Source organism: Homo sapiens, chromosome 1 (assembly GCF_000001405.40).
Source record: "Homo sapiens chromosome 1, GRCh38.p14 Primary Assembly".
In the NCBI taxonomy this organism is placed as follows: Eukaryota; Metazoa; Chordata; class Mammalia; order Primates; family Hominidae; genus Homo; species Homo sapiens.
In genome coordinates, this window is record NC_000001.11 from 4,711,750 (window position 1) to 4,738,190 (window position 26,441).

The 26,441-nt window shown below is 54.1% G+C and overlaps 1 protein-coding gene across 3 annotated transcripts in view, besides 1 other annotated feature; it reads left to right on the plus strand.

The window, feature by feature from the left end:
- AJAP1 (adherens junctions associated protein 1) overlaps window positions 1–26,441 on the plus strand; it is a 137,926-nt gene that overhangs the window by 57,141 nt on the left and 54,344 nt on the right. For all 3 annotated transcript variants that reach the window (XM_011541786.3, NM_018836.4, NM_001042478.2), the window contains exon 2: window positions 151–950. In XM_011541786.3, the coding sequence (XP_011540088.1) occupies window positions 151–950 (800 nt within the window). The remainder of the gene's footprint in view (window positions 1–150; window positions 951–26,441) is intronic.
- Window positions 22,130–22,630: an enhancer, noted in NCBI's record as "H3K4me1 hESC enhancer chr1:4793939-4794439 (GRCh37/hg19 assembly coordinates)". NCBI's record gives its function as "activates a minimal SCP1, AML or CMV promoter by ChIP-STARR-seq in primed H9 embryonic stem cells {active_cell/tissue: H9 hESC(primed)}" and the evidence as "EXISTENCE:reporter gene assay evidence [ECO:0000049][PMID:30033119]".

Consider the following 26,441-nt stretch of genomic DNA (forward strand, 5'->3'; position numbering starts at 1 on the left):
TTTCGGATTCCCTTTTGAAGTTAGGAGGAGCTCTTTCCAGAAGAAGAGAGCGTCCTTGTCACAGCGCGGGGTGGAGAGAGAGGGCCCCGGGGCCCAGTCCCCCTCCTGGGCTTCCACTGACCGCTCTTCTCTCCTTTCCCCCCCGCACAGCTCCATGTCCATCCGCTGGCCGGGCCGCCCCCTCGGAAGCCATGCCTGGATACTGATAGCCATGTTTCAGCTCGCCGTGGACCTGCCCGCCTGTGAGGCCCTGGGCCCGGGGCCGGAGTTCTGGCTCCTGCCGCGGTCGCCGCCCCGGCCGCCCCGGCTGTGGAGTTTTAGGAGTGGACAGCCAGCGCGGGTCCCGGCCCCGGTGTGGAGCCCCCGGCCGCCCCGAGTGGAGCGGATCCACGGGCAGATGCAGATGCCTCGAGCCAGACGGGCCCACAGGCCCCGGGACCAGGCGGCCGCCCTCGTGCCCAAGGCAGGACTGGCCAAGCCCCCAGCTGCTGCCAAATCCAGCCCTTCCCTCGCCTCTTCGTCCTCGTCCTCGTCCTCCGCGGTGGCCGGTGGGGCCCCGGAGCAGCAGGCCCTCCTGAGGAGGGGCAAGAGGCACCTGCAGGGGGACGGTCTCAGCAGCTTCGACTCCAGAGGCAGCCGGCCCACCACAGAGACTGAGTTCATCGCCTGGGGGCCCACGGGGGACGAGGAGGCCCTGGAGTCCAACACATTTCCGGGCGTTTACGGCCCCACCACGGTCTCCATCCTACAAACACGGAAGACAACTGTGGCCGCCACCACCACCACCACCACCACGGCCACCCCCATGACGCTGCAGACTAAGGGGTTCACCGAGTCCTTGGATCCCCGGAGAAGGATCCCAGGTGGGGTTAGCACAACGGAGCCTTCCACCAGTCCCAGCAACAACGGGGAAGTCACCCAGCCCCCAAGGATTCTGGGGGAGGCCTCAGGTACAGCCATCTCTCTTCTGGTTTGGGTTTGCTTGGGGTTGAGGGCTGGGAGCGTGACTCGGGAGAGATGCTTAGATGTCCCTGGGTGATGCTATGTGTGGAGGCTCCAGGAGATGCAGGCGTGATGTGTCCATGAGCTTGCACATGCCTGTAGACTGGCAAATACAGGCTGTGCCTTAGAGGAAGGGGGCGTGAGAAGGGAGAGTTTCCCTTTTTAGTATGTACCTAGAAGTGGGCGCTGCACCCCTTGTGCCTCTGTTAGGGACCAGCTGAATCCACCAGGTGCTGCAGCCCTGTTACAGACCGGTGGAATCCACCACACACAGCCACGCCTTCCAGAATCAGAGAATTTTGTCTCTGGGGCCGGCCCTTGAGCAAGATGCTTGCCCGTCTCGTGATACAATTAAGGATCCCCCCGCCCCAGAGTCTTCAAAAGCCTTCAAGGGTATGGGACCCATGGACGGGGGCATGGACGGGGGCAGGGTGCCTGCCAACTTGACCTCGGTAGAGGATTAGGAATGGCCTTAAATAGCAAGAAAGGCCGAGGCTGGGTAAAAGGAAGAACTTCCTGCGGTGTTAACAGAACCTTCGCAGACAGTGATTCAGGTGGCACCTTTCGGCTCCCTGGGGATGTGTCAGGAGGGTGTTTGGAGGACGGAGATCAGAACAAAGGGCTTTGGTTCTTCTGCTGCTGTTATCCTAGCTGCCTGTGGACACACACAGTTCACTGGCTTTGGAATATCTCCTTCTGTGCAGTTTTGTTGTTTTTTATTTTCCTCCTATACGCTGTCCTCCATTTGCTTTGAAAGGAGTAGCCCTTGGAAATCTCCCAAGCCAGGGCTTGTCCCTGAACTGGTAGCCTGCACTGATGTCACCAGGCTTCACAGCAGGCCTGCGGGGAGAGCGCAGAGCCCTGGGCACCCCGTCACCCTCACCTCCCTCCAGTTTTCTCTGCCTCTGTTAACAGGCACAGCCCGATGTGCCAGGTTGGCTCAGAAGTTCACAACCTAGATCTGTGCATACACATTCTAGACAAACAGCAACATTTGCTAACTTTAAAATCGGATGCAGATTTTAGGGCGTCAGTACAAAGTGGGCGGGGGCGCCCTGTGGCCTCCTCACAGCTTGCTTTCCACAACCTCCAGCTTGTGGGCTCGGTAGGCCCCACCCAGGCCTCTGCAGAATCAAGGGGAGGGAAGAGAACTGCTCTTCAGAGCTCATGTGCAGGCGGCCGGCATGGCATCCAGGCCCTCTGCGTCCTCACTAGACTGCGTCCTGGCCCTGGTTCCTCCTCATCTTGGGCAGGCAGGCACCGGGCAGTCCTTGGACAGGTTTTCATGGGGTGGGTGGCTTTTGTCCTTCAGCCGGTGACCTACTTTCTTCCTTCACCTGGACAAGAGAACCTGCGGTTTTTTTTCTGAGCTCCTCTTCCCTAGAGAGCAATGTCTCTATGGAAGCACAGCCTGGGCTCCCTGCGCATGCTGAGGGCCATGCCCAGAGATGGAGGCTGTGGGCTTGGGAGAGGCTCTGGAGGAAGAGGCTCCGGAGGAAGAGACTCTGGAGGTCCTGCATCGGCTTCCTCCCATGCAGCCTCTTTTGGGAATCCACGGACATGCGGGGTCTGCAGCTCATCCTGCACTGTCAGGCGCCTGCTAGCAGTTTACAGAGTGTTCATTTTTACCTCAGTAAACTCAGCAGCCATCATCATAGTAGGATTTCTTGCTACTCTCCCTTACTGTCACCTCCTCTGTATACGTCACTTACTATATAGACATGGATGAGGAAACAAGTTCCCATTTATTCCAAATTACATTTGTTATTACTAAAGTTAAACACCCGGGACAGCGTTGTAGGCTTAGCAAATTAATTCACAGTGCATTGGATGTTGCTAATCCATCTCGACAGATGCTTATCTTGGAAGCGATTTATGGTTCTTCATAATATAATCTGGTGCTAGATTAATTTGTTTAGCAAAACAAATCTAAAAAGAGGAAAATATGTGTGTTTGTTTCTAATGCAGAGAAATGTTAATTCTGGAACGCAATGCTGGGCCACAGGGAAGGGAACAGGTGGTTTACAGCAGCGCTCATCAGGGCTAGGCCACCATCCTGAGCTTCCCAGCCAAGGCAAAGGGAAGAGAGGAAATGCGGGGATGATTCCCCTAACTGGGTTCCTCATAGCCCAGTGGGTACCATGTAAATGAATTAGACCAGAGCAGGAACAATTTAGGTTACACACTGGGAAGTACTTGCTGGTGATGCAGGAGGTGAGATCTTTGCTTAGGCTACTGAGAACAGGCTGCATAATCTCCTTATCTGAAGTCCCAAGTAGAGGGGGATGGGGCAGGGGGAGGAAAACAACTGTTTAAGCTTCCCCAGATGGAAGGAGTGCTGGGACAGAGGGCTGAACTCCCTGGAACCCCCTTGCTTGGCAGTCATCAGATGCAGACCTGCGCCCCCAACATTTGGTGGAACGTGAACACTACTCACACTTCTCAGACATCTAAGGCAGCAGAAGTGGTCTTGGGGACTCCAGAGCTGCAATCTGGGAGGCCATGAATTGCTGCAGTTAGTTAGCAGGTGCCTTGAGGCTGAAGATCTGGGAGAGAATCTGGGCTCTGTTGCATGTCACTGTGTGACCCTGGAAAAGGTCTCTCCTCTCCTGATTTTCTTTTCTTCACCAGCAAAATTGAGGCTTAGAAATAGGCCGTGTGCAGTGGCTCACGCCTATAATCCCGACATTGGGAGGCTGAGGCGGATGGATCACCTGAGGTCAGGAGTTCGAGGCCAGCCTGACCAACATGGAGAAACCCTGTCTCTACTAAAAATACAAAAAATTAACCTGGTATGGTGGCACATGCCTGTAATCCTAGCTACTACGGAGGTTGAGGCAGGAGAATCACTTGAACCTGGGAGGTGGAGGTTGCGGTGAGCCAAGATCCTGCCATTGCACTCCAGCCTGGGCAATAAGAGTGAAACTTATTTCAAAAAAAAAAAGAAATATTTTTCCTAAACGGTTGCTGTGAGAGTTTAGTGGATGAACACTGAGCATAAAATAAGGCACCTGGCGCTGAACAATTCTCCATACTTATTCGTTGTTTTTATACCCAGCAAGAATGGCCTGAGGAAGAGAGGGTTGCCAGTGTCAGAGGCAGAGCAGGCTGCCAGGGACTTGGGAGTTTTATCATCTCAGACACAGCCAGCTTTGCCACATACTGGGGGGCACCCCAAAATTTGGAATTGGAGTTTTAGGAGGTGGATGAAACATCCATTAAGTGAGTTTTACCTGTCCAAAAAGGGATCTTTGGTATCACACTTGGGGATTTATAAATTTTATTTTTGTTTCTGCAGATAAATATTTAGAAGGGACATATCATATTTTTCTATCTGTCTATAGCACAGGTTGTTGCTGGGTGCAGAGAGGAAACGTGGCTGGTGATTTGGGGGCACTCTGAAATTTCTCTGGAAGTAACATTACTTGGGATAACTGCTGGAATGATTAAAGGGTCCCCTGTCAGGATTCACCATACATATGAAGTAACTGGGAAATCTTTTTGAGTTTCAGGGTAATGGTTAAGAGTCCCACTGCCTGTCTTCAAATTCCTGGCTTCAGCTCATGATTGCTGTGTACATTTGGGCAACTTGCTTGTCCTCTCTGTGCCAGTGGGTATGATAGAGTTAACCATCTCATAATGTTGTTGTAAAGATTCAGTGAGACAGAGTGTGCCAAGTACTCAGTGCCTGGCACATAACAGTTTTCAGTATGTGCCTGCTGCTGTTAGTGTAAGGGTGGTGATGGTGATGATGATGGTGACAGTGAGGATGATGGTGGTGATGGTGATGATGGGGATGATGATGAGGATGATGATGATGGAGATGATGGTGATGATGGTGTTGATGATGATGGTGATAATGATGGTAATGGTGGAAATGGTGATGATGATGGTGTTGATGATGGTGATGATAATGATGGTAATGGTGGAAATGGTGGTGATGATGGTGGTGATAGAGAGATGATGATGATGGTGATGATGGAGATGATGATGATAATAGAGATAGTGATGATAGTGATGATGATGCTGTTGATAGTGATGATGATGATGGTTACCATTGTGCTAATTTGCTGCCACTACCTTTACTGCTCTATTGAGGGGTCATTTGATGAGTTCCTGCAGCCATGTCCCTGACCTTGGCGCTCTGTACAGAAGTGTAGATGGCACTAGCCAAGAACCTCTTGGGATGGAAAATCACCTGGCACAGGTTCACAGAGGCATTGAGCTCCAGCCTCACGTGAGCACTGGCAGAGTGTGACCGTCAGATGGGTCAGAAGTTAGCTTGAGGTTGGGGAGGAGGCTCCCCACAGTGCAGCCCCAGCCTTCTATGACAGCTCTCTTGCTGGTCAGGTTTCGAATCTGGAATCACAGAGTCTCCTGGGAGAAAAACAGAAAGTCATTTTCTGAGCTTTTATCTTAAAACGTGTAAAGGAAACTTGTGGGGAATTCAAGCCAACTGATTTGGGTTTCTGAATATGCCCACTGTGGGAATACCTGGGGCAGGAGTGCTTGGTGTACAGTTAGTGCTCAATGAAGGTTTCCTGAACCTTACGTTCTTAGGCCGTGCATGCTGGCATCTGGCCCCAAGACTTTCCCGCCTGCTCAGGCCAATCCGCTGCTTTCCCCAGCTCATGTTCTGTCTCTCAGAAACCTCGCCACCCAGGAGGGGCCCTGAAATCCTCTAGGTTCCCATCATCATTCAGGGTTTACCTCTGTTCAATCAGTCACGTATTCGTGACATCCAGCAGCTCAAGGATGAGATGGCTCAGATGTCTTCCAAGTCTGGCCTGGAAATTTTTACATTGGAATTCACTCATGCATTTCTAAGGATGATTTCCAAGTTTGCTTTGTCCTTGTCACCGAGTGGGAGCGGGGAGGCCTTCCATGTCCTTTAGGTATGTCCCTCGGTAAGCACAGGTGACAAGCTGGTGTCATTTTCTCTGCACCCCAGCCGTCAGCTGACCTAAGCATCAATGCAAGCCAGCCAACCTCAGGAGCAAGCCTCATGATGGTGAACTATTTTCTAAACACCAGAGTTGGAGTGGAAGAAAATGAGAAGCAGATGTCACAGGGAGAGACATCCTCTTCCCCTTTGGTTGAAAGCTGTGATGGCCATTTAAATGCTGAGCCCATTTTAATTAAGTTGCTGGGTGTTTGCTACCAGGGAAGTGAATCTGTCCTTAATTTAAAGATATTTGAAGCAAATGACTCATGAACTTCAAAAGTTTTGAGTGGTTTAATTGGGATAAGAGAATCAAAGAACAAATCAGTGCTTGGAGCGCTGCAAAAGATCCTAAACTTTGTAGACAGCAAGGCTGGTCTTTAGGGTCTTAACTGGGATCTTCTGAATGGATGCAGCGTGGCAAATCCTGAGTGCCGTGGTTCTGGGTGGTGGCCTGTGGTCGAGGTTTTCTGTTGGCCGACAGCTCACTGGACCCAATCAGCCTGTTAGAGCACTCCCTCTGTTTTTGCTGAGCAAACTTGTGTTCATACCAAATGGATAAGTGTGCTCCAACTCATGAAAGTCCAGCCTCTGATTCTTCTGGACACGACTGTGTTGCAGGTCTTCTTGCATTTCCCTGTCAAATGTTCCTGGCTTCAACTTATTGCATTTAGTCCTTCTTAAGCTTCTTCATTCCCTTAGGCCCTCATTCTCCTTCTAAGGGCATGCTAGGGATGTGAAAGGTCTTTAATCCTTAAGAACTGAGATGTCCAGCCTAAGGCATTTTCTTTCTTTCCTTTTTTTTTTTTTTAGATGGAGTCTCGTTTTGTCACCAGGCTGGAGTGCAGTGGGGCACTTGGCTCACTGCAACCTCTGCCTCTCGGGTTCAAGCAATTCTCCTGCCTCAGCCTCCTAAGTAGCTGGGACTATAGGCACGTGCCACTAAGCTCAGCTAATTTTTGTATTTTTAGTAGAGACAGGGTTTCACTATGTTGGCCAGGATGGTCTCGATCTCTTGACCTCATGATCCACCTGCCTCAGCCTCCCAAAGTGCTGGGATTACAGGCATGAGCCACCACGCCCGGCCTCCTAAGGCACTTTCTGTGGGAGAGCTGCTGGGTTCAACTCTGTCTTCTTTCACCAGGCCTGGAGAGGTGCCTTTACTTGTTGACCTGTTCAGGAGTTTCCAGCAAGAAGAGGAAGGCCTTAATGAACACTCTCCTCTACCTGGAAACCAGTCTCCTTTAAGGGAACGGATGGGGTCACTGACTAGTGGGGTAGCCGGCGGCTGCACGAAACACACCCTTGTAGGATATGCCTTTCCTTACATCATGAATGTCACAAAACCCTGGACTGATAACAAATCTGTTTGATATATAGTGGGTTGAATTCATGATTGCCATCCGCTCACAGGGGAATGATTCTGAGTGTAGAGATTAAATGTTAGACAGAATACCATTTTTAGACTTTTTGTTTTACTGTGTTACAAGGACCAGTTTTAGAATGTCTGGCTTCTTAATCAATTATTCAATGAACCATCAGCTCTGTACTTAGTTGACAGTAAATGCCACACCTCGGGGTAGGAGCGGGATGAGGAGTTGCAAAACATGGCCCCTCCTCCTCTTTTCAAGGAGTTAAAAAATTCCAGTTGGGAAATCCAGACAGATAAAGACATATCCTTGCACAAGAGAGAAAAGACAGGTAAGGATGGTAGAGGAAATGTCACCAAGCCACAGCTTCATCAATCGCCCAATTGTTATTCTGGCAATACAGATTGGAAGGAAACAGGAGCCGTTGCAGGTTTCTTGGAGCCGAGCCCTGGGGTGGATAGGGGAGGCATAGGAAGAGCCCATCTCGGGGGCGTGTGGTGGGGCTGAGATAGAGTAGGCAGAGCTCCTGCAGGCCTGGATTGTGGAGGGAGCCAGGCCAGGCCTCCACCTCCCGGCAGCTCAGTTTCTTGGCCTCTGGAACAGATGCTGAATAAGACAACCTCCGAGGTCCCTCCTCTAGCTCCGAATTGCCCTAAGAATGGGCGAGTCCTGGTGTTCCCTCTGCAAGGAGCGGGAACGATGGTTTTGGAGGATCCCCTTCCCCGACTTGTCATCAGTGAAAGAAGAATGCTGGAGAGGTGCGCCCCTTCCCTCCCTGCCGGTGTCCACAGTTGGCTGTCCTTGGGGACCCAGCAGTGAGCTCAGTGGTCTATGTACACAGGCAAGCTGGGGGCCTGGTGGGACCATGGCTGTGGGCTCAATTTTAAGCTTCCATTTTGTGATGATGAGTCACTCTTCTCCTGGTGGAACCCTCTGCCCCACCTCTGCCCAGGAGTGGCCTGCATTGTGGATGTCTAGCTTAAAAGGCTGCCCTGTGAATCCTGCTGGTAGAAAAAACATCACCCGCATCTTTGCAGCAGATAAGTTCCAAGTGACGTTTGAGGGCTCCCCAGGTGGTCACTGACACTCAGTCCCGGAGACTCAGCCAAATTCAGAGGCAGACGAACGAGTAATGGACCCATGTGCCACGTGGTTAGACATGAAGACAGGCTTCGGGTCCCCGCTTTCGATGTGGTTCAACATGGTTCAGTGAATCTCACAACCGTCCGCCTTGCAGTCTGTGTAAGGACGTGATGATGCAAAATAAAGGGAAAAAGCCTCCCTTTCCAGAAGTTTCTTTCAGCACTGGGGAAGCCAAGTTTGTTGGAGGAACAGAGAGGCTGAAAATCTCCCTCCAGAGGTGACTGATAGGTGGGCCATGTCAGGGACAAAGCTGGTGCCAGCGGAGAGAGCGCCCACCTTGGCTCAGATGGACCCAGGCCATGGCTGCAGGTGTCCTTGGCTCCACCATGTGACCCCATGGTCCTCTGAATCTTTGCCTGCAAAATGGGGAAGCAATTTCTTTGTGACAAGGCTGTTCTGAGACTGGACCATGCCAGCACATGTGGGAAACTGAGCGCCATAGTGAGCATGCAGCCCCTAGAGTTGAGTCAGGTCTTAAAAGATGCACGAAGCCCACCTCACCGGTGGCTCTGCCAGGGTAATCGAATGGTGTTTGTGGTGGGAAAATGCCATTTGCTTTCTGTGACCTTCAGTATCCTCTTTTGAGGTCAGTTAGGTTGTGTGGCTGCATGCTCGGTGCTATTCTGTCCATATCATGATCTTTCCCTGCCCTGGAAGGCCTCAGTTCTCACTGTGGTGGTCAGACCTACCTCAGGAAGCCCTCAGCCTGGCTCCCTTAATGTGCCAGGTCAACACACCTGAGGCGTGGTTTGTGTGAGCCCCATGGAGAGGATGGGGGACAGGGATGGGGGCTGGAGCCAGCACCATTTCCTTTGCAAGGGGCACGACTCTCCCCTTTACATAGCTGGAATAGCACTTTACAGTTGCACACGCTCCTCCCTTTACGTAGCTGGAATAGCACTTCACAGTTTGCCCAGCAGATGTGCTGTTCTCCAAGCCACCCTGGGAAGGGGGTAGGAGGGGGATCTGCAGCTGGGAGAAGCCCAGGCATTTGTGAGTGGGGACTGGGGCAGAACCCAGCTCTCCTGACTCCAGGACTGTGGCACTTTCCATGATTCTAGGGGTGCTCTTTGGGGCTTGGGGACCCTCCCACCACATACCTCTTCCGCCTGAAGCATCAGGATGCCCTGAGTGTGGGTTCTAGATCCAGGTGGAAGTTCTTGGTCTGTGTGTAAAGGCCACTGATCAAAGAAGATTCCTGGTCTTCTTGACCCTTCTAGAAGCTCCAGAGGGTCCTGTCCATCAGCAAAGCCATGACAGGCTGGACGGAAGAGTCGGATGTCCCCACCATGTGATTTCAGAGACACACCCTGTGGTGCGTCCCTGGCCAAGATTTCATGGATGTGTCCTGAGACCAAGGCCAAGCTGCTGAGACCCACTTTGGGTCCTTGTCACTTATTCCCACCTCTGCAAGGAGAAAGTCAGTGCTGTCTATGGCAGGGAGGAAGAAGAGAGGATGTGTGGATAGGGGCTGCTGGGGAATCTTGGGTTGGGCAAAGATGGCTAAAGGGAGGAGAAAGAAAGGCCAGACTCTCCTAACCCTTGCAGAGCCAGTGCCCGAGTTTGTGATGGATTTTGTGACACTCCCTTTACACACTGCCAATGCACCTTGCAGAGAAAACATAATCTGTGTTTTAAAAGCTTGATATAGTGTCCTAACTGTGCTGAGGAAGACATGCAAAGGAGAGTAATTTAGGGTAAAACGCTGTATTTGTACATTTAAGCGCCCCAGCCCATCTTCACTGGAGGGGTCCGGTGCTTACGTGCATATATACAGCATTTTATCTGTATGTGTGCTGAGGTGGTCAAAGGCTGGCCTCTGCATAGGGTCACTGGGAACACGTCTGCCACACCAGCTGGGACAGTTGCATCACATTGAGGGCAGGTGACTTTCCAAAATGGTGAACAACTTTCAGAGATGTTTGGGACAAAAATGCACACAGTCTTCTTTTGATTTATTCGGTGGTTGCATGCGGGGGAACTTCAGCGTGTTCCAGCCAGGCACTGGAGAATTCCCTGGGTTCATCTGTGGCACAGAGGAGGCCCTCTGGGTTCCAAGCATGTGGGTTAGCAGCACCGAGCCGCGGGGCAGGTGCAAGTTCACAGCGCAGAGGCGATCCGTGGTTTGCACACTTGTCCTGTGCACGGCAGGACCTGTGGCGTCCATACCTGCCTCATTCTGTGACTGTTATGAATCTCTGCTCTAGTCCTAGACATTCCGAAAGCAGCCGTTCACCCAGCTGGAGCCTCGTCCTCTATGTTCACACGCATCTTGTGCATGGGAGGCCCAGCCTTCATCTGTGTGTGAGTCCTGGGGCTGCTGTAATGCATCACCACAGTCTGCATGGTTTAAACAGAAACCTATTCTCCAGCTGTTTTGGAGGCCGGAGTCTGAAGTCATGATACAAGCAGGGCTGTGGTCCCTCCGGAGGCCCTGGGTGAGGACCCTTCTCAGCATCTTCCAGCTCCTGGTGGCTCCAGGTGCTCCTTGGCTTGTGGCCGCATCACTCCAGTCTCTGGCTGCATCTCCACATGGCTGTCTCCCTGTGTCTGTCTTCTAAGGACACTTGTCATTGGATTTAGGGCCCACCTGGATCACCCAGAATGGTCACATCCAGGCCCAGTGTGCTGGGAAAGGCAGGTCATGGCGAGTTGGGTTGGGACAGGTCAGGGCATTGGGCTGGGGCAAGGTTCCAGGAGGCTTGGAGGCCGTCATGAGGATTTGGGGTTTATTCTGAGTATGCTGGGGCTCATGGGATACACTGAAGAGTGGTGTGATCTGAGCCGGAGGTACTGGCTGCTCTCTGAGGGCATTCTAGGGGGAAGACAGGAGGCAATGATACCAGATGGGACGTGATAACTTGTAGAGAGGTGGGACGCGAGCCCCAAGAGAGCATCGGCTGGGGAGTAAGGGAGAGAACCATCTAGAGGGTCCCTGAGGTTTTAGTCTGAGCAACTCTTTCTTCAGCTGAAAGGGGTGCATTTAATTGAGAGGCAGAAGCTGGGGAGCAGCAGATTGGAAGGAGCCCTTGGGACGGGACCTTCACTCTTGTGACATCCAGCCACCCTGGCGGCCGTCCAAGGGGAGCGCCTGTGGATACTCCTTGGATTCCTGAGTCTGCCACTCGGGGGCTGGTGCAGCCCGGAGTAGAAGCTCAGCGGAGCCTCGGGTGTGTGGAAGGTCTGGAAGGCCATGGAGACAGTGGGGACCACTTGGACAGAGCGGGGACTGCAAGAGGGGAGAATGAAGGGGCAATTGGGGGTGATAAGGAAGAGCCCACCGGGAGGAGGTGGCCAGGAGGCTGCAGGAGAAAGCTGTTCCCAGAGCATGGAGGGGTCCTCGTGGCGGAGCTCCCAGAGACATGAAAGAGGCCACTTTTGTGAGGTGGAGGCTGCTGGAGACGTGGTGAGGGGAGAGTCCTGCGAGGGCGATGGAAGGGAGACGGGAGGTGAGCCGCAGATGCAGTGGGTGGAGCTGAATATTTTGAGGAGCTTTGCTCTGCAGGGGTTTGGGGAAAGGGAAGCTGTAGTTGGAGGACTATGGAGGTGGACGAGGATTTTGGTTGTTCTGTTTCGTTTTGATTTTTTTTTTTATCGTGGGAGTATTCAGGCACGTCTTTCTGCCAACGTGAATGACCCAGTAGAGAATGGAAATGGACAATGTGGCAGGGACGGAGGAACGGGGACAATACAGAAGCCAAGTCCTTAAGGGATGAGAACCAGCCTGATGTGTGCTGTTGGCTGAGCTCGCTATAGAGACCTCAAGAGGTGTCCAAGAAAAGCCTGGTTTCCGAATTCTGTGTTTCTCCCCGAGGGCTGACCTTTTTCCTCTTTTCCTTGTGAGAGCCTGTGATAGTTGGAGGAATGAAATCCCATGGGTACTGCACCGACATGGCCCCTGCCATTGCTGGGTGGCCTCCCCAGGCTGGGGTGGACAAGGAGCAGGTGCACACAGAGGTCACGTGTGGTGGCCGCGGGCACCTGCGAATGCCAGGCGGAACCATGGGCGGTGGTGGTGATGGCGGCCGGGATGAGGAAGGCTCAAGGAGAGGGGGCACTTGAGCGAGGTCTGACATGAGAGGAGGTGGCCAAGGGAGGATTTCTGTCCCCTCTGGCCTTGGCGGCATACCTAGTCCCACCTATGGCCCCTCACCTGGTCATGAGCTGGACATCCTCATCTGCTCACAGAAGGGGTCACCACCCTGCATTCCCACCCCTCTTTTCTCTGAAGCCCCCACCTCTGGGCACCCCCTGGGTGGTTTGTCTCCATCGACTGGCATTTACCATGACGTCTCTCATATTATGGCCACTTGCACTTGCCCAGAGGTGGGCCTGCTCGCTCCTCCCCAGCCCCTCGCCAATATCAATAATTGCCAGTGTCATCTGCCTGCATGGTGCTTTCCACCGGCCGTCACCTAGCCCAGGACTCCTTGAGGGGCCGCAACAAAACTCACACCCCCAGATCCTGCACCTGCTGTGCCCCTGGCTCCCAGCACCCTGCCTGGCCCACAGCTAGCTCCATAGCCATTGTCTGAACAGTTTTTTAAAATGCAACTTCTGGGCTTAGAGACAGCTGCAGGGAACGGGTTCCTAAGTGCTGAAAGCCATGCAGATCTTGCAATCTTTAGGTGAAAGAGAAAGAGGAAATGAAAAGCCAGGGTGACAATGTGCCGTGCTTTTAAAAGTCACTGATGCCCACACTGGAGGGAGGTACAGTTCTCCACAAGCACCCTCCCCTCTTGCTGCAGACACAAAGCAAGGCTGCATATGCTGGCTTGGCCCAGGGCTAGCCTGCCCCAGCGCACACTGTCTGGCTCTGGACTGCCCACGCTTGTGCCCAGAGCGAGCAATGAAACTGCCTGCCAGCCCTCAGGGTCCAGGGAGCTGGAAGCACCTGGGGCGCCAGCTCAGCCAAGGCTTGCTGGTCCCTGGGTGTTGGGTGCAGACAGCGGCCTGCAGCAGGAACCTCTGACCCCGGCAGAGGAGTAGTAAAGGGACCTCCAGCCCCCAACAGGCAGGAAAGAAGGTTTCAAGTTCCCTGGAATAGGCAGATGTGCATCAGGTTAAGTGGCTGCTCCAGTGGGCACTCACTTCCCGTGTGTGGGGAAGGGATGTGAGTGGGGTGGGCCATCTGGGATACTTGGTGTAGAATCCCGCATCTTCTCGTGCACCATGGATGCCCCGTGGAGCTCACGGGCAGGGCTGTCGTCATGGTCCCCCTGGTGCCTGGCGAGGGCTTGCTTGTGACAGATGCTCAAAGTACACGTTTAATGAATAGGTAGACTCCCTGTTCACACCCACCTCCCCTTCGAGGGGGCTTGAGGTTAGGAGAGAACTCAGAATGTCCAGGATGTCACCCTAGAGGTCACCAGCTCCTTCCTTGGTGGCGGGAGTTGCTCGGCCAACGGAACCGGGGGCCTCCTGTGCCGGTGTCCTGGGCAGCTGCAGCAAAGCACTCCAGCCTGAGTGGCACAAACAATCAAAATATGTTCTCCACCGTCCTGGAGGCTAGAAGTCTGAGGTCAGGGTGTCGGGAGGGCCGGCTCCTCCCAAGGCCTCTCTCCTTGGCTTGTAGACCCTGTCTCCTCCCCGTGTCCTCACATGGTTGTCCCTCTGTGTGTCTGTGTCCTCGTCTCCTCCTCTATAAGGACACCAGTCAGCATGGATTAGAGTCCACCCTAATGACCTCATTTAACTTTAATTACTTCTTTAAAGGCTCTATCTCCAAATACAGTCACATTAGGGGGTGGAGCTTCAACATGCAAATTTTTGGAGGACATAGCTCAACCCATAACACCTCCCACCTCCAGGGGTCATGGCCCACCTGGGAGAGTGCCTCCCCTGGGATGAAGCAGAGGGCCCCAGGAGACCTGGAGTCCTTGCGGGATGGGGGAGGAAATGGAGCTCCATCGCCAGCCCCGCATAGAGTTGGAGAGAGCTGGGCACAGGGGCAGGCCCTGAATCCTGCAGAGAGCTGGGCACAGGGGCAGGCCCTGAATCCTAGAGAGAGCTGGGCACAGGGGCAGGCCCTGAATCTTTTAAGGCTGCCGTGCTTGTGCCAGGGTGTGGTGGAGGGTACCACCCTGGGGGGCAGTACTGGAAACTCACAGTGGCCAGGGTTTATGTGCATGCGGTATTCCAACATCGTCCTGTGTTTAGAGGGAGAACCCTTGAATAATGGCGTAATTTAGGGAAGTTGACCCCAGAGCCCAGTGGGGTGAGCAGAGTCTGCTTCCAGGAGTTGTGGGGAGTGGGAGGCTTCTGGGGTGGTGTGGGTGCTCCTGGGATGGCAGCAAGTCTGGGAGCCTAGAGGAGATCCGGTTGTGGGGTCTGGGCCGGAGGAAGAGGTCAGGTTCTGAACACCCAGAGAAGGTGAGTTTTGAAGCCTCAGCCCCCACTGTGTGGCCCTAGTGAGGGTGGGAGTCACCTGGGGAATTGGTTTTAAATGCACATTTCTGGTCTCCACTCTCCAGAAATCCTGATTCAGGCAGGAGGGGCCCAGGAAGCTGCCTTCAGAAGCCGTGTCTTCAGCATGTGGGTCTGGGAGGCAGAGAAACTGCAGCCGAGAGCCGGGGGCCTGCATTGCACGGCCGGCTGCTGAGCTCGGGCCTGGTCTCCTTCAGGGTCCCTGGGGGATGGGGCTGCCTTCGTGTCTGATGAAATAGGACAGAAAACAGGCACGGAAGAGCTTCCAAGAGGCAGAGGCTTGGCCCAGAGGGAAGCTGAGGGCCAGGCTTGTCCCCTCTGTGTCCTCACTGTGGCTTCTGGGGGATGCGGATCCCTGTGTGAGAGCCCCCGGGAGCCCAGCCCCCCGGCGTGGGCCACCCCCCGCAGCGAGCCACCTGTGGCAGCAGGTTGCCATTGCTTCGCAGTTTGGGTTACATCTGTTCCGCCGTGAGTCATCAGCTCGGAGCTGGGGCGCACACAGCTCTCACTGTGCCAGGCGGCCGTTCCCAGGCTCAGGTGGGTGAAGAGCAGGAGACGAACGCTGCATCTTTGCAGCCCAGCGGGCAGCAGGAGAGGCCAGGAGGAGCCTCACAGCCTCAGAATAGTGTGGCCTCTGGCCCCCTCTGTCCCCTCGGGATCCCAGGGAGTGTGGAGGGCTCCCGGCCCCACCTTCCCTGTGTTTCAGGGGTCCCAGCCCATTGCGTTTGCCTCCAGCCCTCTCCTGTGGGGGACAGTGCGGAGAAAGCTAATGTCTCCCTTAAATGGCGTTGACTGCACAGGCACGTGGACCAGGGCCTCTCCAGTTATGCTGCGCTGACCCCGTCTGTGTCTGTAGCACTTGGTCACTGATGTCCTCCACCTGCATGTCTGCCTCTACAACCATATTCTCACCCCTGGGCAGCAGAGGCGTGCTGCTGGGGACCACGTCCCTGACACAGGACCTGGGTGCCCGGAAGACCCTGAGGTGGACCTGGGGTGCCCACCTGCTGGCATCTGCACCTCTGTGGAATCCCTTCCCCTGGAGTGTGGATGGGGCCGTGACCTGCCCCTAACGCAAGGCTGTAGCAGCAGTGATGGGACTCTCCCATGTTTAGTAATTTAAGTCTCCATACTGCTGGCCTGGAGGGGCCCATGTAGTGGGGGCTAGCGGGTGTCCAGGAAGTGAGGGCGGCCCCTGTCCACAGCCATCAAGAGGCCTAGTGCTCGGTCCTTCAGCCGATCCTGCCAATGCCTGGAAGAAGCTTGAAAGTGGAAACTTCTCTAGTTGAGCTTGCAGGTGATTGCAGATGACAGCACAGCCCAGCCCCAGGTGGTACACGGAGCCTCTGAACAGCAGGGCCCTGGTCGCCTCCGTTCCCTGTGGGACCTTGAGCAGAGGACCTAACAAAGCCATAGCCAGACTCCAGAACAGAACTCGCCCACAGAACCAGAGATCACTGACAGGTGGTGTTCGAGCCTCTAAGTGTGTGGTCATTTGCTACTTGGCAAAGACAACTAGGAGAGCCTGGAACCAGGCGAGGGTCTGTGGGTGATGGGTGAATGCACAGGGAAATGAGGGTCGTGGGCAGGGGGTCTGAGTCTGGAAGCCAATGAGACATGGCCTTTGGCAGCTTGGAGAGGAGCCCTGGGCCCCAGCGGACCCTGGCTGAGCACGGGGCCCTTCCGATGGCATGCTGGAGGGTTTATTCCAAACTCCCTTTTTCCCTGGAGTCATTGTGTGGCTCGTGGTTTCCTTTTAGTCTAAGCATGAGGAATGCACTCACACTGCCACAGCCAAATGCACCTGCGTGTTCCCACCCAGCCCCGGGTTTGGGGTTTGGCATCTGAGTGACACCTGCTCCCAGTGGCTGCCCCGATGCTGTGTAGGGGTGTGAGCGGCCATCACAGCCTGCTCTTGCTGTCGCCGTGGGGGCCTGGCCTGCTCCAGAGTGGGCTGTGTCCGTGGGAGCAGCTCCTGAATAACCCTGTGCTCCGTGGAAAGGCAGAAAGAGCAGGACAGACCCTCAGGCACAACTGCAGAGCCCAGGGGTCCGTCTACAGCGAAAGGTCATTTTGCAACTTGCTGGAAACTTCTATCTTGGGCTGCTGATTGCTGGGCCCCAGCTCCTCAGAGGACACTGCACTGGCTTTTTTGGGTGGTCAGGTTTTCCCTCCACCCTGGGCCTGGGGCTCACTTAGTCTGGCCTCCCTGCCGATGGGCTCTCTGTCATTGCTCCCTATTGAAACCAGCGTCCTGTCACCGGGGACATGGGAGCTCTCCGGGGCTCCATCGGCCCTGGGCCCAGCTGCCAGACCACACATCCATGTTTCCATTATCCCCTGAGGCTCTGTAGGGCCTGCAGACCCCGAGGACGCTGCCCACTGCCCTCCTGCTCACTCCAGCCCTGGTGAGCTCAGGGCCGAGTCTTCTGATACATCCTGGAAAAAAAATCATTGAAATGAATTATACATCAACACCAAGAGACGGATCATTAATTAATAAACTCAGCCATCTCAACTTCCCACAGCCTACACAGCATCCATGGTGAATGAATAAGCGGGCCCAGCCTCACAGCCCGGGATGCAGATGAGTCTCCCTTTCTCGTGAGAAGGGTGCAGGTCGGAGTGAGGGGAGCACAGGGCAGGGCCCGAGTCTCGAGGGCGTCACTCCTCCTGCGAGTGCAGACCTGGGGCCTGGGGGTCCAGCTGGCCAGTGCGGGCTGCCCTGTGAGACTTGGAGCTGCTGCCCCACACACTCCTGTGCCCTGGCCCTTCCTGGTGAGCTAGGTTTTCGGCTCCTGGCCTCTGAGCTGTGCCTACAGGGTGACCTCGAGACTCACGGGGTGGGACTCTGCTGACAGTTGCTCGTTGAAGTATGGGGTCTTCCAGTCTGGAGGAAGGCATCAGAGACCAGGGCAGCAGCAGGGCTGGTTCCTTCTGGGGCTGTGAGAATCTGTCTCCACCCGAGCCTTCCCATTGTCTTTCCTCTGTGCGTGTCTGTGTCCAAAGTTCCCCTTTTGATGAGGACAGCCGTCCTATTGGATGAGGGCCCACCCCGATGGCCTCATTTTAACTTGATTACCTCTTTCAGGGCTCTATCTCCAAATAAGGTCACAGTTCACGGGTAGTGGAGGTTAGGACTTCAGCATATTCATTTGGGGGTGCATAATTCAACCCATTGCACTTGTTGTTGGATTTAGGGGCCACCCTGATCACCCAGGATGAGCTCCTTAGTCACATCTGCAAAGATCCTCTTCCAAATAAGGTGTCATTCTCAGGCACTTGCGTGAGGACGTTAGCATCTTTTGGAGGAAAAAAGTTCAGCCCCAAAAGTACCCTCCCTTCCTTCTACTCCCCATTGTGTAAGCAAAACATAGCTCTTAGAGCAATGACCCCCACGCAACCCCAGAAGAGAGAAGCCTTAAAGAAACAGGCGTTCAGTAAGAGGTCCACAGCGTCCGCAGAGGGCAGGGGACTCTGCCGGATATGTCGGTATTGCCTGTGCACCTCGCAGATTCCACCCCTACAAGAATGGAAGTTTCCGGAAGATTTCCATGATTGCTAATCGTTTATTTAACATCCTATTAGAGGAGGAGACAGGGAGCAAACAAGCTTGCTGCTGCGTTTGTAGCCAAGGTGTCTTGTAAACTTAGATTTTATTGTTAACTTTGGCTCCTGGGGAAACAAAATAGCACACAGACACTGACACAGAATTCCAGGCAGAGCAGCTCGGCACAGCTGTTCCAGAGCCAGGCTGAATCCGCAGCTCACCCAGCCTGGAGCCCAGAGAAGCGGGTGTTGGGAGAGCGCCTACCTTCCTCTTGATCCCTCTCATTTTTACAAATTTTCAAGAAAAGCAACAACACAAGCCGCTGCCTCTGCCGAAGCTGTTGCGTGTGTGATTGATTCCTGGAAGGCACACAGTGCCTACTGTTAACCCAGATATCAGGAACCTCTGCGGGGCTGCCCCTCTGCACCTAGCAAAGGCATTGTCCACCCCCAGGCCACCTTTCAGAAGCCAGAAGCCTGGGGAAAGGACCCGTGTTCCCAGGAGGAAAACACCAGCCATATCTGACCTTCCATGTTGAGCCACATCTGGGCCCTGCCTGGGCCAGCATTTCTTGAGCTGTGAGTGCAGCCTGGAGTTGGATACCCAGAGGGACTCAGAACAGACATCTCAAGCAATGCTCAGACCTGGCCCTTCCTGCACTTGGTGCTCCAGTGTTCTCATCCCCTGCTTGGCTGGATCAAACTCTGCCTGCAGCCCTTCTTTCCCCTAATCACAAAGTATGTCCCTGACCCTTTTGGGTATGTCCTCTTAGTCTCACTCGTAAACTCGACTCCTTGACTTAAAAGGAGATTGCAAATGTTTTCACCATAAGAACATTTGTTTTTTGTTTTGATTTTTTAATTTTATTTATTTTAGGTTTTAGGTTTTGTTTGTTTGTTGTGTTTTGTTCTGTTTTGAGACAGAGTCTTGCTCTGTCGCCCAGGCTAGAGTGCAATGGCACAATCTTGGCTCACTGCAACCTCCGCCTTCCGGGTTCAAGCGATTCTCTTGCCTCGGCCTCCTGAGTAGCTGGGATTACAGGCATGCACCACCATGCCCGGCTAATTTTTGTATTTTTAGTAGAGACGGAGTTTCACCATGTTGGCCAGGCTGGTCTCGAACTCTTGAACTCAGGTGATCCACCTGCCTCAGCCTCCCAAAGTGCTAGGATTACAGGCGTGAGCCACTGTGCCTGGCCTGATTGTGTTTTTTAAAGTAACTGAAGAGCTGACATTTGCTCAAACTCCTACAAGATGTTGTCACTGCCGGGCAGACCCAGGCAGATCCTCAGCTCTTTGCCTTTCTAGTGGTCCCCAGAGACTTCAGAAAGGTGTGAACATTTTGCGTGACAGGTAAGAAAGTCAAGGGCTTTGGGGCTTCCTCAGCCTGCAGGAGTTAAGGGAACAGCTTGAGAAGGAGGGAGAAGCAGGTGGTTTAGGGCCTGTGACCCAAAAGCTTAGCTGGTAACATACAGGGTCCCCAACAGAGCTGGCTCATTCCAAAGCAGGCTGGTCCAGAAAGGCCTGGGACCTGGGCTCCAGCCTGCCTGAGACAAAGGCTAGAGAAGCACACAGGGCCGCCACTGTTTTCTGGCTGTTTCTGGAGAAAAGTTCAGGCCAAACTCAGCTCCTGAAAGAATTGCCCCTACCCTTCCGCCCCTGTCCTTCAGCTCAGGTGGGTCCTGGGAGGCTGGGAGCCCTCCTGGAGAGGGGCTGGGCGTCACCTGTAGCCCTCTTCTCCATGCTGCCCTTCCATCGGACACCCCCTGGGTGGCCAGGAGGCCTCCCTTCCCGATAAAGGCAGCAGCCTTAGGGACAGAGTAGGGAGGCGGGAGCCTGTGCCCCACATGCAGGAGCCCCCTTTCTGAGTGCCAGCAGGATGTGCTCTTGGGGAGAGGCTGCATGGGGAGGTACAGGGCACACATTTCCTTAGGTCTCTGAATGTTCATACAGGGAACAGCTTTCAGCCAGCCCCTCTTGCCCGAAGGGCCCCATGATGTGGGGATGGGGCACAGCCAAATTCTCCTTTCCCTTCCCTAGAAGAGACTGAGAAGGGAGCAGCTGGTGCTAGGACCTTCCCTCCAGTCTACTGTGCTGATGAGGCCAGACAGGTTCCAGAGGCCCTAATGCCACCATCCTTCTAAGACCTGGCATGGCTGAGGTGTCACATGTGCCCACCTGGGCAAGGCCATGCCTATGTGAAAGGGAAAGGGAGAAATTGTATGTGGCTGCTGGAGAGGGGACCTCCAAGCTACCCTGCCCTGTGGCTTTGCCCTCCCACCTTGGGCCCCCTCCCTCACATGGCCTGCCAGCTGTCCCTCAGTTCTCTGAGCCCCAGAGGCCCAACTTGGGCTCCTTCGGGGGCCCCCAGAATTGCACTCTGCCTACAGACAGCCTCTCAGTGCTGTAACTTACTGTCAATGAGAGTGTCCCTTGTGCCAGGCCCCACTGTGCCTGTGCAGGCAGGTGAGAGCGGCTTCACAGCAACGCAGGAGTGAGGGAGTGAGGGTGAACCCCTGGCCCTTCCGCGAGACCTGGGGTGAGTCACAGAGTCCAGAGCCTCAGTGGGCTCCTTAATACAATGGAGATGATCTTCCACACCAGGCCTCAGTCAGTTCTCCAGACCAGAGAGGTGAGAGAAGGCTTAGTAAGTTACAGTCTGCTTCGAAAATTGGAGCTGTTTCTTTTCTTTCCCCTGACGCTCTTGGGAGATCCTTGGAGGAACTGCGTCTCCAAATAGACATCTTAGCTTGGACTTCTGGCTATGGCCTCTTGGGGTCCAAATTCCCCACAAATGAATGAAAATAGGATTTCTGGACTCTTCTTTGCCCAGCAGGGCATTTCAGAATCTGTTTGGATTGAGAAAAATTAAGAAGCTGTTAAAATGCTTATTTTTGCCTCAAGAAAATTTTGTGGGATTTCCTGCCCCGCCTCCAACAAAGTGGGCAGCCCCCACCCCAGACCCCCTTCTACTCTTAGAATTAGGGCTGGGAAGGTAGCAGAACCCCCAGGGCTTGGCTCAGGGTTTTCACGTGATTTTTAAAATGCAATGCCGCCTTCAGATGATCTGCATACCCAAGACGTCAGTGTCACGGGGAGCCGTGGGTCTGTGCTTCCCCAAGGCTGGATGGCCCCAAGAGTCATCACTTCCAAAGCCTGGGTTTAGAACCCAACAGAAGCAGGTCACAGGACAGCGAGAAGCTGCCCAACAGAATCTCATTCGCTTGTTCACCTGTTCAACCATTCATTCATTCATTCATTCATTCAGCTGACCAAAGTATCTCGTGTGCCCAGGGCTGTGCTGGGAGTGGGACCCTTCACAGGCAGCCAAATCAACTCAACCCCTGTCCTCACATGGCATGCAGTCCAGTGGGGAGCAAGTCCAATTGCACAGCCGTCTTCCTGTCCTCAGAGGCCCGCCCTCCTTGTTCTGGAAGAATGGGATGTGGAACACAGATCCTGCTCCGAGCGCGGGAAATCCCAGCGGGCCGGCCTTGGGAGGATTCGGTTCATCCTGACCCATCTCTGACCTGGTCCAGGACAGCCCACCCCTCCCCTTGTTCTCCTTGTGGGCAGGGATAGGAGAAGGCCACTGTGACTTGTGCTATTTCCCAGAGACCAGAGAAAATTCTGGCATTGTGAGCTGCCCACACGCCGTCGTCTGTGTCAGAGCCAGAAATAGAACGCAAAGAAGATTCTTGTTCTGATTTCTGTGCTCATAATTCTAGGGCAAGATGCCCTTATGAGATGTGGATCAAAGGAGGTGGGGGCGGGGGGAGCTGAATGGAGCGGTTCACGCGAGGTGTGTGCGTCGCGAGCAGGGCCCTTGCCGGAGCTCCAATTAGCGGCTTTTGTAAGCGATCACGTACCGAGTATTGACTTGGCTCAGCCCAGGAAAAGCGAGAGCGATTTGCAAAAGGCCCCTTCAATCATGACAATTAAAATCCAAATACAGACCTGCCAGGGCCCTGAACCCATGCACTTGTTCTGTGTGGAGGAAGAGAGGCACCCGCTCAGATGCTCCTTCTTAGATGAAAGGAGTGCCTCAGCTGAGCCCCGGAATAGGAAGGGCCTGCCCTACTGAGCCTCCTGCCTCACTATTAACAGCGCTGCGTCCATACTGGGAGCCAGGTTCTGACAGCTGACTTGAATTAAATCTCATAAGGCCCACAGGACACACGTCCTGGGAAGAAGGCATTCCTCTGATCTTAAATCAGCAGAGGCAGAGGCCCCGAGAGGTTAAGTGACTTGCCTGAGGTCACACAGCCTGAAGGGGGTGGAGTCAGGATTCAAACCTAGGTTCCAGGGATGGTGTGTTGACAGCCTGCACTCATCTGACTGTATCTCCTTCAGTCTTCTCCACCATCCCTTGGGCGTATGGTATTTTACAAAGTAGGAAGTGGAGACAGGGATTAAGGAGTCTGTCCAGGTCTGCCCATGAATGAATGTCAGGCCTCGTCACTGCAGGAGCTCGGACTGCACTGGATGGGGCTGGAGTGGCACCTGTGGGCGATGCTGAATATGATGCATGATCTGTCTTTCGGGTGTTCTTGGAAGGAAGGAGAAGGGCAGCACCCAAGAGGGGTCAGTGATGGTGGCAGGGCCAAGGCTCTCACCTTCCCCCGGACAAGGTTTCTAAGGCCCGGGAAGCATCTTCTGCTTCCGAGGCCCGAAACAGTGGCGTTTCCTCTTCCCCGAGCACTCAGCCTCCATCTGGCTTTCTGTCCACCGGCACAGATGGCAATGTTGTTTCTCGACTCCTCCGTCCATCGCCTGCAAGCTGAGCCGCGTGATGGAGCTCAGCCTGCAGCAGCCGTCTTCACCTCAACTTCCCTGGGAGCCGTCCTGCTTTGCTTACACGTATGAGCTCCGCGTGCTTGGCGACCCTTGAGGGTGATAGAGGGCCGGGTAGAGGGGCTTCTCTTCTACACCTGGGTGAGCTCCGCACCAGCGGCAGGAGCACACCCTTACAAAAGCCTGCCACAGCACGCAAGGCATGGTGGGACCAGGCCTCCTGGCTGCTAGAAGAAGACAAGAAAAGCATACTGGGCTGAAGTCACTTCAAAAGCTGGTCACAGCAGGTCTTTTCTTCCGTGACACTCACATAGGGGAGATGGGGAGAGAAGTCATCCCTGGAATTCCAGCCTGGAGCGTGTGGGAGGGAGGGTGCGATGTGCATCAGTGGGGTGAGAACGCCTATTGGGAGAGGGGACCAATTTGGGCCCCAGGTTTGGGACTCTCCTGGTTGAATGTCTCGCCCATCCAATTTTGCAGGAAAGGAGCCTGGTATGCAGGCTCAGCACCCACTGCACCGGGTGGGCAGCTTTATTCTGCCTGTGGCACTGGCCTAAGAGCTCAGAAAGGTTTAAAAAGATAAGACAGCCCACTGAATAGCCAGGGACATTCAGGAGGCTGCACACGGAGGTCTCTCCTCCCAGGCTGCCTGCTGTACAGTGGGCACCTCTGCCTGCTGTGTGAGGTGTGAGGTGAGCTCCTCCCTGCTCCTCTGCTCCCTGAAGCCCTACCCTGGCTTGACTCATGCAGTGCAGCCATCTGAGCCTCAGTAAGCCCCTCGACAAGCTGCCGCCTCCTCCGGGGTCCCATCTTCCTGAAAATGGGGCACAGCCCCTGTTACCCCTGCCTCTGGCCTCGGAGCTGGCTCCCCTTCCCTGTGTCACTGCAGCTCAGCCCTGGGGCCCGCCTCCTGAGGGTCTCCACGGTGATCTTCAGCCTTTGCCATTGCTGGTCAGATTGAGGGGAGCAGAGCTTAGAGGAAGAGGGTTGGCGCTGAGGTTCCTTAAGGCCCCAGATCAGCTCCCTACTTGCTACAGTGGCAAGCTGCCTTACCTGCGCCTTACTTTCCTCATTTGGAAAACAGGGGTAAGAAAAATGCCAACCTCCCAGGGTTGTCAGGAGAAAAAGTTAATGTTTGTAAAGGGCTTGGGATGTGCCCTGGCACATGGTAAAGGCTGCAGAGGTGTCCCTGAGACCGTTGACAGAAATAGTTTTCACATAGTTGCCCCATCAGTTCTCCTAAACCACAGCTCTGATGTTGCCCCTCGCCTGCTCAAGAACTGTCATTGGCTCCCCACTGCCTACCCCAAGAAAGTTCAAGCTCTCTCACCTCTTTTCCAGGCTGTGACCGCCTTCTCCCTTGGCCTCCTGTTGCCCGCTGCGCTGTGCGCAGCCCTCCCTTTCCCACGGTCTTGGCTCTGCCAGTCACATCTTACCCCCTCCCAGCTCACTCTGCTCCAAAAACACCAGCCACAAGTACTTCCCCTCCCACACATCTTCCTCTAATCCTCTGTGGCCAGCGATAATCTCTTCCTTCCTCAAATGTTCATGCTGCCTTCCTGGTTGTATTTATATGTATAAATAACTGCAAAATAGGATTAAAAGTGAGGCCCTGACTCCCCAGTGAACCTGCAAGCTCCTTCAGGCCCGAGCCTTGATGTGCTTTTTGATTCTTTTTATCCTCTGTATAGCACACGGCAGAGCAATTTGCACACGTAGGGAGTTCAATATGTATTTATTGAATAAGCAAATGAAAATTAAAGAATAAAGAAAAGGCCTTGTAGCTCAAACCCCTAGTTATCCCAGTGTATCTGTGGAGAACGTGCGGGGGCCGCTGGTAAACTTGGAGTGCACAGCTTGGGTGGGCTGGTTGGAAAGAGGGCTTCTACATGGACCTGCAGCCCTAGGACTCAGACATGGGTCTCCAGGGCTGACTACTGGGGGTGGATTGAGGCCTGAGAATTCTTCCCTGCGGGGGCTTATTTTCATGCCCAGGTCAAGCAAGGGCCCCGCTTAATCCAGCCATCATCTAGAGAAAAATGGTTGAATGAACTAGAGCAACTCTCTGAATGTACTGGAGTTGGCACACTTGCATTGGGCAAAGTGGGAATTATTACGCCTGTTTGCAGCATCGCGAGCAAAGTGGGATGCTGTGTGAGAGCGTCCTTTCCCTGCCTGCAGTTTACTATGGGGCTGTGGATGGGCACCCCTGGGATGGGAAGGTTCTCACCAAACCCAGGCTGGGAGGAGGCTGGGGCAGAGCAGAGAGTCGGGAAAAAGCATGAGCCTGAGCCTGAGCCTGAGCCTGCCCCCTGGCTCTGCCGAGTCCCTGGACAAGCCCCCGTCACCACCCACCCCTCGGCCCCTCACCTCTCTCAGGGAAATGCCATAGCACTGATTACCCGGCAAGGATGGGGACCTGTGGGGTGAGATTTTTTTTTCTGGGGCTCGTGTTGGATTTCCTGGTGCAGCAACAGGACGCAGTGCAAGTGCAAGCAGAGACGGGAGCCCCCCCGAGACGGAAGCCCCCCGAGATCTGCGAGCTCATCCTTTCCTTAGGCCTCTGCATAGGCAGGGCCAGGGTGCCCAGGTCCCAGACTCCTGAGGCCCTTGTTGTGGGTTTTAAAGAAATTCTAGGCCAAGTGCAGTGGTTCACAGTTATAATCCCAGCACTTTAGGAGGCCTAGGTGGGAGAATCACTTTAGCCCAGGAATCAAGACTAGCCTGGGCAACAGAGTGAGACCCCGTTTTCTACAAAAATAATTATTTAAAATATTAGCTGGATGTAGTGGTGCATGCACCTGTGGTCCCAGCTACTCGAGAGGCTGAGGCAGGTGGATCGCTTGAGCCCAGAAGATTGAGGCTGCCGTGAACCATGATTGCACTACTGCACTCCAGCCTGGGCGACAGAGCGAGACCCTCTTTCAAAAAAACCAAAACCAAAACCAAAACCAAAACCAGCTGCCTTTTGCACCCATGGTTCCATGTGGATTTTGAAGAAGCCCAGAACTCAGTTTCACAAGAGCTGGTTAAACTCCAAAGGTGTGCAAAGCACCTGCCTGGGGGAAACAGCTTCCCAGGCTTGATTTTACCTGGTACTGAGTACAAATTTTACTCATTCCAAATGTTACACTTCTTGTCTTGCTAATGTTTCAGAAGAGTAATGGGACCCAAAGCCCAGGCGTCCTTCAAGCATGCAGCCCCCAGCCACATGG